Source organism: Homo sapiens, chromosome 9, assembly GCF_000001405.40.
Source record: "Homo sapiens chromosome 9, GRCh38.p14 Primary Assembly".
NCBI classification, from domain to species: domain Eukaryota; kingdom Metazoa; phylum Chordata; class Mammalia; order Primates; family Hominidae; genus Homo; species Homo sapiens.
The window spans coordinates 65803108-65819690 of NC_000009.12; the positions used below are offsets into that span (position 1 = coordinate 65803108).

Sequence of the window (16583 nt, forward strand, 5' to 3'; positions counted from 1 at the left end):
CGTATCTTTAGTCAAGTCTTGTTTACTAACGTACTATTAATGATTATCTTTTCTTTTTCTTTATACCTTTTTGCATTTTTCAATTTCCTAAAATAGCCTTACATGCCTTTTATCACCAGGAGAAAAATTACTTCTAAAGTAATTTCAGTCAACATGCATACTAAGAACTCTTCAGATTTATCTGTTAGAAGCTGTGCATGAATGCCAGTCCTTGCATCTGTCTTGGAACTCACAGAGAGCTCTTTTCCCATGGCTTTAAGCAATACTCAAAAAGACTAGCATACCTGAATTTCCTAGTCCTATGTTTTTTTCATCCAACAGCCAGTCTTGTATTTCTAGCTGTTTTCTAAACATTTCAACCAAACCATTTTACAGATAACTCATACAGTCATCCTTTGATATGCATGGGGAATTGGTTCCAGGATCCCCCTTGTATACCAAAATCCATGGATGCTCAAGTTACTGGTATAAAATAGTGTAGTATTTGCATATAACCTACACACATCCTCCTATATACTTTAAATAATCTCTAGATTACTTAATAACAATTAATACGATGTAAATGTTACGTAAATAGTTGGTATACCATGTTGTTTTTTATTTGTATCATTTTTTATCGTTGTATTGTTTTTTCTGACAATTTTGTTCCACAGTTGTTTGAATCAGTGGATGCAGAACCCATGAATATGGAGAGTCAATTGCATTTTATTATGCCCAAAGGTAAATGCATAATTTTTCCACACAGCTAATCTTCTAGCAACCCCATTGCTGTCCATGGCAAACAGGCTTAGTTAATCTCGCCCTTTCCCGTTTCAGGTTCATTATACACCATGGAATACTATGCAGCCATAAAAAATGATGAGTTCATGTCCTTACTAGGGACATGGATGAAGCTGGAAACCATCATTCTCAGCAAACTATCGCAAGGACAAAAAACCAAACACCGCATGTTCTCACTCATAGGTGGGAATTGAACAATGAGAACACTTGGACACAGGAAGGGGAACATCACACACCAGGGCCTGTTGTGGGGTGGGGGGAGGGGGGAGAGATAGCATTAGGAGATATGCCTAACATAAATGATGAGTTAATGGGTGCAGCACACCAACATGGCACACGTATACATATGCAACAAACCTGCACATTGTTCATGTGTACCCTAGAATTTAAAGTATAAAAAAAATAAAAAAATAAAGAAAGAAATAGATGTTCTGTAAAAATATACACAATTTTTACAGACAAATACATTTATAAGTTGTTTTTATCTTAAAAATTGGGGATATTTCATATTTATAACTAAATATTGAGCCTTAAGTTTTCTTGGCCATTTCTAGGCTAATAAACTAAGAATCATGTAAACTAAGCCAAAGTAGAATAGACATAAAAGTCCTGAACACTTCAACTTCCTATCCTTCAAGAAGTATACCTCGCAAAGCTCATTTGAGAGAGGAAAAGCTTTCCTCCACCCTCGGTTTTACAGTGCTGAGGCTTCTCATCACATTTCTATGACTTGTAGCTTAAATCCATGTTACATGGTCACTGGCATTGTTAGTGCTTCTCTTTTAACACTGTAGGAATTAATCAATTTGGTGGCATATTTAATTAATTCTATCACTAGAGGATTGTAAAATTACATATATGAATACCTCACTTTAGAGGCCACTTAATTTTTTTCCAAGGGGATATTTGACTATATTTCACTTGTGTCTTATTTAATGATTTTATAATTTAAACCCTAAATTATAAATCTAGAATTTAGAAAGTATATTTCCCCACTGGATTACATTTTTGGAAATATTACTTTATATGTGCACAAATATTACAAAATCACTGTAGACACCTGAAAACTATATTATCTTTTAAAGACAATATTTACATTAAACTGGTATAACAAAATTGTTTGGTGCATTTTTTCCAGTACATTTTGTGTATATTACATGTTTAACCTTTTTTTATTCAGCAAATAATTTTTGAGTATCTACTAAGTGCTAGGTTCTGCATTACTAACTGAATTTAAAGAGTGAAATAACAGACATGGTCTCAGACAATAAAAATTAACATTAGGTCACTTATTTATATATTTTTAAATGGTAATTATGAAAACTTTTTGAGATTTTTAACTAGATAACATTATAATAACGCACTTGATGTTGTTAATAGTTGCCAGTGAGCAAAAAAGAAAATAAAAAGATGGTTTTATTCAATATACACTTTAAAATTGCAGAAAATAGTCAAGTTTCTCTGCTTTGCAGTTGAATGTCTATGTGTTTTTCTCTGCAACTTGGCTTTTGTGGAGTGAAACAATTATTCTTCCAGCCCAATGAAGGCAGACGAGTAACAATAAATCTAATATTTTAAATGCTTATCAAAAGATAGTAAACACATTATTTCAGAATACTGAGTTCAATAAGTTGACCTACAAAAAAAGCCAAACTGACAGTATTACTGAATAAGGAAAGGCCCAAAGAGACAAAATACTTTTTATTTTGTAACCTCGGTATGACACAACTTACCCTAACTATAAAGACCCTAAATTACCAAGATGGGTGCTTATAATATGGAGAGTTACAAAGTCATTTCACTTTTAGCTTTTTTATTTCTCTCAGAATAAAAAGTGTATAAGGAGTTGATAAAGAAGTTGATACTATAAGTTAGTACTACAATGACAGCACTTTTCAAGAAAAGACTTTTTTCTCTCTTACAAATATCATGTTAGCAGTATTTGTTTTCTCCAGAAATAATGAGTAAATAAAAACATAAGTATGTGGGTAATTAGTGTAGTTTCTTAAATAAATGAGTTAGGCAACAGGCTAATAATGTATATTTCACTGGCTTTTCAATGCCAACAATCATATTCTTTATAAGGCACAGAGAAGATTTTTCTAAAGAATAAGTATGTGAACCTGAAAAGTAATCACCACTTGGTAGTGACAATATGGATAGGGTGAAGGGCGTCACCAAGAAGCAATGAAAAGATACATTTGCAGTTAAATTTGAAAACCATGATGTTTAATACATATAGTAATAAAGAATACTTTCTCCTGTCTCAAAATTATTTTAGAATTTAAGATAGAAGCTAAAATACCTAGGGATAATGATATGACTATCAAAAATTAAAAATTAAAGGATATTTTGAGTATTATAAATTAAGAATGAGAACTTATTACCCAATGAACAGGGGATAATTCATTATGCTCCATATCCATTGAATTAAAAGACAGGCCCATTACCTGGATAATTTGAAAGTTTAATTTTATTTAAAAGTCTTGTTTCATTCATCAAGCTAAAGGATTAGCTCCCAGAAATATTCCAGGATTGCATATCCCCAACTCTGTAGGAAGTATAGAAAGAATGTTATAAGGGCCACCATCTAAACATTATTATATAAATAATTTAGTACCATTCCATTTGCCTTTGTAGATTTAAAAATGTAAATGGCTTTCTCATATTAGGAAACATCACTTTTCAAAACCCAGGTAAACATAGTATATTGCAAGAGAATAATTATTTTCTTTATTAAAAAAGAAATACTGGATGCTAAGTCCAAAAGACATAAATTATTTTATACTAATAACTACTAATATTTTATTCATTAAAATATAAAGGTCAAAGATTTCAAAATGATCTTTAAATGATTAATAACATGTTGATCTTTTTCTTCTTTCTGTAAACCTTTTTGAGTCTTAACAATACTAAACTATACAAGCAATATTAAATAGTATATAAACTTGGATTAAAATATTCAAATTTACTAGAATGTGGACATTGGAAAGAATGAAAATAAACAGAAGCATAAAGCAGCAGATATAAAATTAAGAAAGCAACTAAGAGTGTTTAAAGTGCATATTCATCTGTAGTCTAATGTCTACCATAAACAATGACTCTTCTCAGTAAAACACAAATTGTTCATGAAGGGAAAAAGCATGTTGTATTAGAGCATATTCAACATAATTTTTTTAGTACTAACTTGTGCCTGGAGTATTATTGGTTTTTCTATTATGAACTTATGCACTTGGTAATTTTTTTCATCAAAATTGTATGTACAACTCCATTCAAAAGCAGTTTTTGGTCGTTTTTTTTTTTTTTATTTTGAGACAGAGTTTTGCTCTTTTCACCCAGGCTGGAGGGCAATGATGCGAATTTGGCTCACAGCAACCTAGCAAATTTTGCCTCCCAGGTTCAGGTGATTCTCTTGCCTCAGCCTCTCGAGTGGTTAGGACTACAAGCATGCACCACCATGCCTGGCTAATTTTGTGTTTTTAGTAGAGACATGGTTTTGCCATGTTGACCAGGCTGGTCTTGAACTCCTGACCTGAGGTAATCCGCCCACCTTGGCCTCCCAGAGTGCTGGGTATGGGCAAGAGCCACCATACCTGGCCTCAAAAGCAGTTTTTAAAAGCAAACACAATATAACACCGAAGTTGAAAAATCCATGCTCACTCAAGGATGCCAGGTTTAATAAATTATTGATAGAATACTACATCAAAAATAAGACAATAAACCAAAATATACCATTAAAGATGTATCCACTCCTACAACTAGAGATAACTAATCTATCTGGTAGCAAATGATACTTCAATCAGTTTCAGCATGTCTGAAATCTTTAAGGACAAAAGTGATAAAACATGACTTCATTCTTCATTAGCCTCTTAGAACACTTGAAGGAAAATAATTTCTGAAGCACGAAGAGGTAAAGAGGTGTAATCTTTCAAAAAGATATTCAGTGTTCAAAATCCAAGAGTGCAATATCAGGCTGGGTGCGGTGGCTTATGCCTGTAATCCCAGCACTTTGGGAGGCCATGGTGGGTGGATCACCTGAGGTCAGGAGTTCGAGTCCGGCCTGGACAACAGGGTGAAACTCTGACTGTACTAAAAATACAAAAATTAGCCAGGCATGGTGGTGTGCACCTGTAGTCCTAGCTACTTGGGGGGCTGAGACAGGAGAATCGCTTGAACCTGGGAGGTGGAGGTTGCAGTGAACCGAGATCATGCCACCTCACTCCAGCATCAGTAACAGAATGAGATTCCATCTCAAAAAAAGAAAAGAGTGTAATATCGGTATACACAGATAATATACTGAATGAAACAAATAGAATAATTTGAAGAGGTATCTTGATGAACAAGGAGTAATTAGAAAGGTTGTATTTATGTCTTTGAAGGAAATTGCAATGTGAGAAATTAATACTTTGACTACTATACTAAAAGTTTATTGCTAACATCTATTGAGTTATTAACGTGTGTTAGGCAGAGTACCATATAATTTACAAGTGTTATCTCATTTATTGTAGGTAAAATGTAATTTCAAACTCTGGGAGTATAAATGAATTAGATAGAATAAAATTCTATTTAAATGGCCATCAGTAAATCGGTATCTAGGAACAGGGTGATACAGTGCCCAAGTTTTCTATTCTTACTAAATGTTGTGTTTCCTTTTCAATGTTTTCTTGGATATTGCTCTTTTTTGGTGATTTTGATTTTTTTTATTTTAGAAAACTAATAAATTGACTCTTCTTGGTACTGACTCGGGTTTTATAGAAGAAAAAGTAATTAAATTCTGTACATTTACCTTTACCTCATTTTTTCTCTTTTAAATTTACTTTAATTGACATACAATAAATGTACATGTTATGGGGTACAGAGTGATATTTTGATATATTTATGCAATGCGTAAAGATCAAGTCAGAGTCATTATCATATCCATTACCTAAATCATGTATTATTTCTTTGCAGTGAGAATATTCAAAATCTTTTCTTTTCGTTATTTGAAAACACACAATAAATTCCCATTAACTACAGTCACCCAACAGTGCTGTAGAGAACTAGAACTTCTTCCTTCTCTCCAGCTGTAATTTTGTATGTATTAAGCACATTTTTCTTATACTCTTCTTTCTCCTACTCTTTCCAGGATATGGTAACCAAAACTCTACTATCTACTTCTACGAGATTAAAAATTTTAGCTTCCATACATAAGTGAGAACACGTAGTTATGTGGTGTTTATATTTCTATGCCAGGCTTATTTCACCTAACATAATGCCCTCCACTTGCATTCTTGTTGCCACAAACAACAGGATTTTGTTCTTTATTATGACTAAATAATATTCCATTATATATGTATGTCACATTTCTTTATCCATTCATCTGTTGATGGACACTTTTGTTGATTCCATATCTTGGCTATTGTGAATAGTGCTGTAATAAACATGGGGGTGCAGGTAACTCTTTGATATACTGATTTTCTTTCCTTTGGATATATACTGAAAACCATATGATTAAATTAATAAACACAATAAAAGCGTTTGGCAAAATTAAATATTCTTACATGACAAAAAACTTCTCAACAATTTAGTATAGAAAATATATGCCTTAACACAAAGGACATAAAGGACAAATCTACAGCTAAGATCATACTGAGTGTGGAAAAGGTGAAAGATTTTACTGTGAACAAGAAAAAGATTTTACTGGAACAAGAAAAGGATGCCTATTCTCACCAATCATATTTCACATAGTGAAAGTCTTAGCCAGGACAATTAGGTGAGAGAAAGAAATAAAGGACATCTGAATTGGAAAGGAGACAGTCAAATTGTCCTTGTTTAAAGACAATGTGATCTTATACATGGAAAAAAATAAGACTCTACCAAAAGCTTCTCAGGGTGATACATGAAATTAATATAGTTGCAGGATATAAATCAACATACAAAAATCAGTAGCATTTCTATATATTGATAGTAAACTAGCTGAAACAAGAAATTAAGAAAGCAATTCCTTTTACAATAGCTACAAAAATGTACTTAGAAATAAATTTAACCAAGTAAAAGATTTCGACAACAAAAATGACAAATATTAATGAAAGAAATTAAAGAAAACATAAAAAAGCAAAGACATCCACGTTTATAGATTGAAATAATATTCTTAAAATGACCCACTATCCTATGTGATTTACAAATTTAGTACAATCACTAGCTTGTATTTTTAAAAGCACCTTTGCTGCATATTCTTAACATATTCAATGACAATGCCTGGATTTGAGGTATTATTATATCTATTTTATACTGGGCACAATATAATGTTATCAGAGGTAACGGTTTTGATTGGTCCTAGGTCATACAGTAATATATACATTGTCATTTATAGACATGCTATCTTTTAATACTCAGGCATTTAGAAAGTTCATTTAGACAAAGTTATAAAAACTTGCCTTCCTTTCTGCCTATATCACCTAAAAATCCTAATTTAAGAGGTAATAACATTTTTTATTTGATATACAATTTATCAACACAATAAAAATCTAACTATCATGTGCAGAGTGTGAAAATCTCATCAGATTAAGGAACACAAAGACATCTTTTTCATATTTTGAATGTAAAACTGTTTTGGAAACTGTTATTTTTAGAAACAGTTAAAAACATTGTTTCATTAGTTTTTCATGTAAAATTGTGACAACCAGCATGAAATAACTGTCATCACAGAAGCATGGTATATTCGATTCCGAAACATATTCTTTGTAAGTTTTAATATATTTATGTATTATTTATACTTAATTGTAACCCATAATGTACAGATATTATTTTTCCTTCAACTCTTAAGAATATTCTTAAATAATAAAATTAATGAATTATAATTTTTGTTGGTTGGGAAAAAGACACACACGTGACAGTGCATCACTTCACCTCATCATTTCATCTCATTTCATCTTATCCCATCTCATCTCATCATTTCATATCATCTCATCATTTCATCTCATCATTTCATCAAATCTCATCTCATCTCATTTCCATTTCATTTTCATTATTTCATCATTTCATTTCACTATTTCATTTCATGTAATTTCATTTATTTCATTATGTCATTTCATATCATCTCATTTCATTTCATGTCATATTTTTTATATCATTTTTCGTATCATTTTTCATCTCATTTCATCTCATGTCATATTTTTTATATCATTTTTCGTATCATTTTTCATCTCATTTCATCTCAATTCATTTCATCTCATCATTTCATCTCACCTCATCATTTCCTCCTTTCTTTTCAACATTTCATCTCATTTCCTCTCATCTCATTTCAATTTTATTTCGTTATTTCATCTCATTTCATTATTTCACCTAATTTCATTATTTCATCTCATCTCATCTCAATTTATCTCATCTCATCATTTCATCTCATCATTTTTCATCTCATCATTTTTCATCTCATCATTTAATCTCATTTCATCTCATTTCAGCTCATTTCATGTCACATCTCTTCATCATTTCAACATTTCATTTCATCTCATCATTTCATCTCATCTTTCAATTTCATTTCAATATCATCAATTCATCATTTCATTTCACTTCATTATTTCATTATTTCATTTCATTTCAATTCATCTCATCATTTTTCATCTCATCATCTCATTTCATCATTTCATCTCATTTCTTCTCATTTCATCTCATTTTATCTCATTTCATCTCATCTCATTTCAATTTCATTTCATTATTTCATTTCACTTCATTTCATTTCATCTCATCACTTTATCTCATCTCATTTCATCAAATCATTTCTTCTCATCTCATCTCATTTCATCATTTCATCTCGTTTCATCTCATTTCATCTCATTTCATCTCATCTCACCTCATCATTTCATCTCATCCTTTCATTTCATCTCATCGTTTCATCTCACCTCAGCATTTCATCATTTCATCTCATCATTTATTTCATCTCATTTTATCTCATTTCATCTCATATCTCAATTCAATTTCCTTTCATTATTTCATTTCATCTCATTCATTTCATCTCATTTCATTACATCTCATTTCCTCTCATCATTACATCTCATCTCATCTTATCATTTCATCTCATCATTGCATCTCATCATTTCATCTCATCATTCATCTCATTTCATCTCATCATTTCCATTTCATTATTTCATTTCATCATTTAATTTTATCATCTCATTTAATTTCACCTCATTTCATTATTTCATTTCATTTTTTCATTTCATTGTCATTTCATTTCATCTCATTACATTTCATCTAATTTCATTTCACCTCATTTCATCTCATCATTTCATTTCATCTCATCATTTCATCTTTTCATCTCATTTCATCTCATCATCTCATCAACTCTTTTCATCTTATCTCATCATTTCATTTCATCTCATCATTTCATCTCATCTCGTATCTTATCTCATTTCAATTTCGTTTCATTATTTCATGTCATCTCATCTCATCTCATCATTTCATCTCATCATTTCATCTCATCACCTCATCATTTCATCATTTTATTTCATCATCTCATCATTTCATCTCATCTCATTTCGATTTTATTTCAATTTCATTTCACTATTTCATTTCATCTCATCATTTCATCTCACCATTTCATTTCATCATCTCATCTCATCATTTCATTTCATCATTCATCTCATCATCTCATCATTCATCTCATCATTTCATATCATCATTTTATCTCATCTATCATTTCATCTCATTTCATCTCATCTCATTCCATCACATTTCATCTCATTTTATGTCATCATTTCATGTCATCATTTCATCACATCTCATCTCATCATTTCATCTCATCATTTCATCATTTCATCTCATTTCAACTCATTGCATCTCAGCTCATTTCCATTTCATTATTCCGTTTCATCATTTCATTCATTATGTCATTTCATCTCATATTTCATCTCATCTCATCATTTCATCTCATTTTATCTCATCTCATTTCATCATTTCATCTCATCATTTCTTATCTCATCATTTCCATTTCATTTTCATTTCATTATTTCATCATTTCATTATTTTATTTCATCTCATTTCATTCATTTCATTATGTCATTTCATTTCATCTCATTACATTTCATCTAATTTCATTTCACCTCATTTCATCTCATCATTTCATTTCATCTCATTTCATCTTTTCATCTCATTTCATCTCATCATCTCATCAACTCTTTTCATCTTATCTCATCATTTCATCATTTCATCTCATCATTTCATCTCATCTCGTATCTTATCTCATTTCAATTTCATTTCATTATTTCATGTCATCTCATCTCATCTCATCATTTCATCTCATCATTTCATCTCATCACATCTCATCATTTCATCATTTTATTTCATCATCTCATCATTTCATCTCTCATTTCGATTTTATTTCAATTTCATTTCACTATTTCATCTCATCATTTCATCTCACCATTTCATTCCATCATCTCATCTCATTTCATTTCATCATTCATCTCATCATCTCATCATTCATCTCATCATTTCATATCATTTTATCTCATCTATCATTTTATCTCATTTCATCTCATCTCATTCCATCATTACATCTCATTTCATCTCATTTTATGTCATCATTTCATGTCATTTCATCACATCTCATCTCATCATTTCATCTCATCATTTCATCATTTCATCTCATTTCAACTCATTGCATCTCAGCTCATTTCCATTTCATTATTCCATTTCATCATTTCATTCATTATGTCATTTCATCTCATCATATTTCATCTCATCTCATCATTTCATCTCATTTTATCTCATCTCATCATTTCATCATTTCATCTCATCATTTCTTCTCATCTCATCATTTCCATTTCATTTTCATTTCATTATTTCATCATTTCATTATTTTATTTCATCTCATTTCATTATTTCATTTCATTATGTCATTTCATTTCATCTCATTACATTTCATCTAATTTCATTTCACCTCATTTCATCTCATCATTTCATTTCATCTCATCATTTCATCTTTTCATCTCATTTCATCTCATCATCTCAACCCTTTTCATCTTATCTCATCATTTCATCATTTCATCTCATCATTTCATCTCATCTCGTATCTTATCTCATTTCAATTTCATTTCATTATTTCATGTCATCTCATCTCATCTCATCATTTCATCTCATCATTTCATCTCATCACATCTCATCATTTCATCATTTTATTTCATCATCTCATCATTTCATCTCTCATTTCGATTTTATTTCAATTTCATTTCACTATTTCATTTCATCTCATCATTTCATCTCACCATTTCATTTCATCATCTCATCTCATCATTTCATCATTCATCTCATCATCTCATCATTCATCTCATCATTTCATATCATTTTATCTCATCTATCATTTCATCTCATCTCATTCCATCATTACATCTCATTTCATCTCATTTTATGTCATCATTTCATGTCATCATTTCATCACATCTCATCTCATCATTTCATCTCATCATTTCATCATTTCATCTCATTTCAACTCATTGCATCTCAGCTCATCATTTCCATTTCATTATTCCATTTCATCATTTCATTTATTATGGCATTTCATCTCATCATATTTCATCTCATCTCATCATTTCATCTCATTTTATCTCATCTCATCATTTCATCATTTCATCTCATCATTTCTTCTCATCTCATCATTTCCATTTCATTTTCATTTCATTATTTCATCATTTCATTATTTTATTTCATCTCATTTCATTATTTCATTTCATTATGTCATTTCATTTCATCTCATTACATTTCATCTTTCATCTCATAATTTCATCCATCATTTCATTTCATTTCATCATTTCATCTCATGATTTCATCTCATCTCATTATCTCATTTCATCTCATTATTTCATCTCATTTCATCTCATCTCATTTCATCATTTCATTTCACCATTACATCTCATCATTTCAACTCATCTCATTTCAATTTCATCATTACATTTCATAATTTCCTTTCATTATTTCATTTCATCTCATTTCATTATTTCATTTCATTTTTCATCTCATCATTTTTCATCTCATTTCATTTCATCATTTCATCTCATCGTTCATCTCATCTCATCATTTTATCTCATTATTTCATCTCATATCATCTCATTACAATTTCATTATTTCATATCATTTCATTATTTCATTTCATCTCGTTTCATCTCATTTCATCCATCATCTCATTTCATCTCATTTTATCTCATCTCCTCTCCTTTCAATTTCTTTTCAATTTTGTCATTTCGTCTCATCATTTCATCTCATCATTTCTACTCACCATTTCATCTCAAAATTTCATCTCATCATCTCATCTCATCATTTCGTCATTTCATCTCATCATTTCATCTCAAGTCATCATTTCATCTAAGTGAAATGATGTAATGGAATCATGAAATGAAATGGATAGGATGCCCTCAGTGATGTTAAATTTAAAAATTGTTTCTTTTCATGTATGCATTTTTATATTTATATTTACTTATAGTTATTACTTTTTATTTATATTTTTACTTATTTCTTTATTTATAAACAAGGTCCTGTTCTGTGGCCTAGGCTGGAATGCAGTGGTGCATTCACAGTTCACTGAAGCCTCAAGCAAACCTCCCACCTTAGCCTCCCAGGTAGCTGGGACCCCAGGTGCGCACCACCACACCTGGTTAATATTTTATTATTTGCAGAGATGGAGTCTTGCTATTCTGCCCAGGCTGGTCTCAAACTCCTGGGCTCAAGCAATCCTCCTGCATTGGCAACCCAAAATGCTGGGATGCCAGATATGAGCCACAGTGCCCAACCTATTTATTTATTTATTTATTTATTTATTTAATAAAGACAAGGTCTCACTATGTTGCCCAGGCTGGTCAACTCCTGGACTCAAATGATTCTCCAAACTTGGCCTCTCAAAATGTTGGGATTACAGGTATGAGCCACCATGCTTGGCCTAAAAATAGTATTATATTTTTGTATCATATAATTTTCAATTAGGTATTATGAATATTCTGTACAGGAAACACACCCTTAATTACATAAGAATAAACATTTGTTACACTGAGAAAAATCTAATAGAGCTAAAAATAAAAATTAATTTGGAAAGGTCATTAGATACTGATACATTCTTACGTTTATACATTCTTTCATATATTCATATATCCTTTTAACAGTATCAATGGTTTGGAGTTACGTGTACAAAGCCATGACCCATATGTAATACAACTAATAACAGGCACTTACAATTCAAGGCATATTATATACAAAGCTTTAACTTCTTATCAAAATATTTTACTTTTTTCTTTCTGTTTTGGCAGATACTATGAACACAACATTCAACTCACAGACACCATGGAGCCCTTACTAAGCATAAAGTACTGTGAAAGGCCAGGGCTAGGACAGAACTGAGACAGGGCCAGGGATAGGACAGAACTGGGGCAGGGTCATGGCCAGAGAAAAACCAGGGGCAGGGTCACAGCCAGGGACATGAGAGGACCAAGGCCAGGTCCAGAAGCAGGGAAGAACCAGGGCCAGGGCAGGGACATGGCAGGGCCAGGGCCATGGCAGGATCAGGGTCAGCAGAAGGCCAGGGCAGGGCTAGGGTGGCACAGGGCCAAGGCAGGGCAGGGTCAGTGTAGAGCAAGGAACGGGCCAGGGTATGGCAGGGCAGGGACAGGGAGGTCCAGGGCCAGAGTCAGGTCCAGGACCTGGACAGGGCAGGGCCAGAAACATGGCAGGACCAGAAAGGGGACAGGGCAAGGGCAAGGCCAGAGAAGGACCATGGGAAAAACATGGCCAGGGAGGGTCCAGGGCAAGGGCAAGTCCAGGGCAGAACCAGAGCCAGAGCAGGCCAAAGGCAGGGCCAGGGCAGGGCAAGGCCAGGATAGGGCAGGGCCAGTGTAGGGTGAGGGTAGGACCAGGGCGAGTTCAGGGCCAGGGCAGGACTAAGATAGCACAGGGCTAAGGCAGGGCCAAAAGGAGGGGCCAGGGCCAAGCATGGCCAGTGTCAGACCTGGGGATTGTCAGGGTCAGGGTCAAGGCTGGTCCAGGGACAGGGCCAGAGCAAGGGCAGGGCCAGGGAGAAAGCAGAACCAGAGAGGATCCAGAGCAAGGCCAGGGTCAGGGCAGAACCAGGACCAGGATAAGGCAAAGCCAAGGCCAGGGCAGGGCAAGGCCAGGGCAGGGCAACACCAGGGAAGGGCAAGGCCAGGGTAGAAAAGGCCAGGGTAGGGCCAGGCCAGGGTAGGAGAAGGCCATGGTAGGGCCAAGGCCAAGGCAGGGCAGGGCTAGGGTAGCACAGGGCACGGCCAAAAACAGAGCAGGGCCATAGCAGTGGCAGGACTAGCAACAGGGCTAGGGCAAGCGCTGGACCAGAGCATGGTGGGGACAATATAGGGCCAGGACAGAGGATGGCAAGGCAGGTCCAGGGCCATTTCATGGACTCAGTAGGCCTGGGGTCAGGCCAGGGCAGGGCAAAGGCAAGGCCAGGAAGAAGGCAGGGCCAGGGCCAAGGCAGTGCCAGGGCAGGGCAGGACCAGTGCAGGGCCAATGCAGGGTGAGGGCAAGGCCAGGGCATGGAAGGGCAGGGCAGGATCAAGGAAGGGCCAGGAGAGGGCCACGGCAGGGTCATGGCGAGAACAAGGGTATGGCTGGGGTCAGGAATATGGTAGGATGAGGGCTGGGCCCAGGCTGGGGCACGCAGGGCAGAGCATGGTCTGTGCAAGGCATGGCCAGAGCCAGGCCATAGAGATGGGAGGGCAACACCAAGGCAGAGTCAGGGTAGATCCAGGGCTGAGCAGAGTCAGGGCAGGTCCAGAGTCGAGGCAGAGCTAGGGCCCAAGCAGCGCCATGGTAGCACCAGGGCAGAGGAGGGCAGGGCAATGCAGGACTGGGCCATGGCAGTGCCTGGTCAACTCCGGGGCAGGGCCAGAAGCAGGACAGGGCCAGGGCCAATGCTCAGGCCAGGGACAGGGCATGACAGGACGTGCCAGAGCAGGGCTGGGCCAACGTTGGGGCAGGGCAAATCAGACCAGGACACCTCCAAGTCCAGCTCTGGCCCTGCCTTGGCCCTGGCCCCTTCCTGGCCTGACCTTGTCCCTGGCCCTGCCCTATCCATGCCCTGTGTGTTTGACCAGTGTTTTATAACCAGAATCCTACAAGAAACTTAAATTAGTTCTTTTTGTGCATTTTTAGTAGAGATGGGGTTTCACAATGTTGCCCAGGCTGGTTCCAAACTCCTGAGCTCAAGCCATCTGCCTGCCTTGGCCTCCCAAAGTGCTGGGATTACAGGAGTAATCTGGCCAAGTATTTACCTTCTTTTTGCCTGTTTCCTACATTTGGAAAATGGGGATGCTTTAAGTACCTAGCATATAGAATTATTATGAGAATCAATGCCTCACATATTTACATGTTGATAAAATTATACTCATAGAACACTACTGGAAGCAAAGATAGTATTAGTTAAAATTTAGTGATTACTGCAAGTATTATTACTATTACAAACAACATAGTATAGACATTACTACTACTATAGTTATCTTAAAAATCTAAAATAAAAATTTTAGTAATAGCCTAAAGTAATCTCTCCTGCTCTGCCCTGGCTCAGCCCTAGTGCCGGCTCTGCCCCTAGTCCTACTACATCCCTGGCCCTGACCCTTCCCTGGTCCAGCCGCTGCCCTGGCCCTTCCCATCTTCAGGCCTTAACATGGCCCTACCCTGGTCCTGACCCTGCCCTGGTCTGGTCCTGACCCTGGCCCTACCCCAGAGAAGGGGTATGGCAGAGCCAGGGAAGGGCCGGGGCAAATAAGGGACAGGACACATCCAAATCCAGGAACGGGCCAGGGCCATGACAGAGCCAGGGCGAGTCCTTGGCAGGGCCAGGTTCCAGGCCAGGACCAGGAAAATGTCATGGCAGGGTCACTGTATGGCCAAGGTCCAGGCCAAAGCCAAGGCAGTGGCAGGGTCAGGTCTGCATAAGGGCAGGACCAGAGCCAGTGATACGGCAGGGCCAGGGCCAGGGCCAGGGCTGTGCCAGGACAGAACAAGAGCAGAGCAGGGCAGGACCACAGCCAGGCCATAGAGAGAGTAGGGCAAATGCCAAGGCAATGCCAGGGTAGTGCCAGGGCTGAGGCAAGGTCAGGGAAGGTCCAGGGCTGAGTCAAGGCTAGAACCAAGATGGGGCAAAGGCCGGGGCAGATCTAGGGCACAAGCGGGGCAGATCTAGGGCACAAGCAGGGCAAGCTAGGGCAGGGCAATGGCAAGACCAGGCCATGGCAGGGCCAGCCCAGGATAGAACAGGGCACAGGCAGGGCAGGGCCAGGGCCACGGCTGGGGCAGGACAAGGACCAGGACCGGGGTCCAGGCCAGGGCAAGGGTATGGCCAGGGCAGAGGTAGGGCCAGAGCCAGGGTCTGGGCAGGACCAAGGCAGGTCTATTGCAGGGCCAGGGTTCAGACCAGGGCCAGAGCAGGGCTGGGACAGGGCCAGGGCCAGAACCAGGAAAGGGCAATGTCAGGACAAGGGCCATGGCAGGACCAGCAACGGGGCTAGGACCAGGACAGGGACAGGGACAGGGTCAGGGCTAGGGCCAGAATAGCATGCCAGGGTAGAGCCAGGCCAAATTAGGGCCAGGGCTGGGCCAGGGTATGGCCTTAAGTAGTGAAGGGCCAGGGCCAGGGTCCATGCCAGTGCCAGTGCCGGTCCAGGGCAGACGCAGGGCCATGGCCAGGTCTAGGACAAGGCTGTGGCAGGGCCAAGGTCTGGGTCAGGGTCAGCATAAGACCAGGACAGAGCCAGGGGAGGGACAGGGCCATGGTAAGACCAGGTTAAACCATGAACAAGACACCTGCA

At 37.0% G+C, this 16583-nt stretch overlaps 1 protein-coding gene across 1 annotated transcript; it reads right to left on the minus strand.

Moving 5' to 3' along the window:
* Nucleotides 1-12653: 12653 nt before the first annotated feature.
* LOC124902171 (formin-2-like) lies at nucleotides 12654-16561 on the minus strand. The gene has a single exon (XM_047424302.1). It carries the CDS (start codon nucleotides 14363-14365, stop codon nucleotides 13742-13744), a length of 624 nt encoding a protein of 207 aa, XP_047280258.1. The 5' UTR covers nucleotides 14366-16561; the 3' UTR covers nucleotides 12654-13741.
* Between the last annotated feature and the right edge of the window lie 22 nt (nucleotides 16562-16583).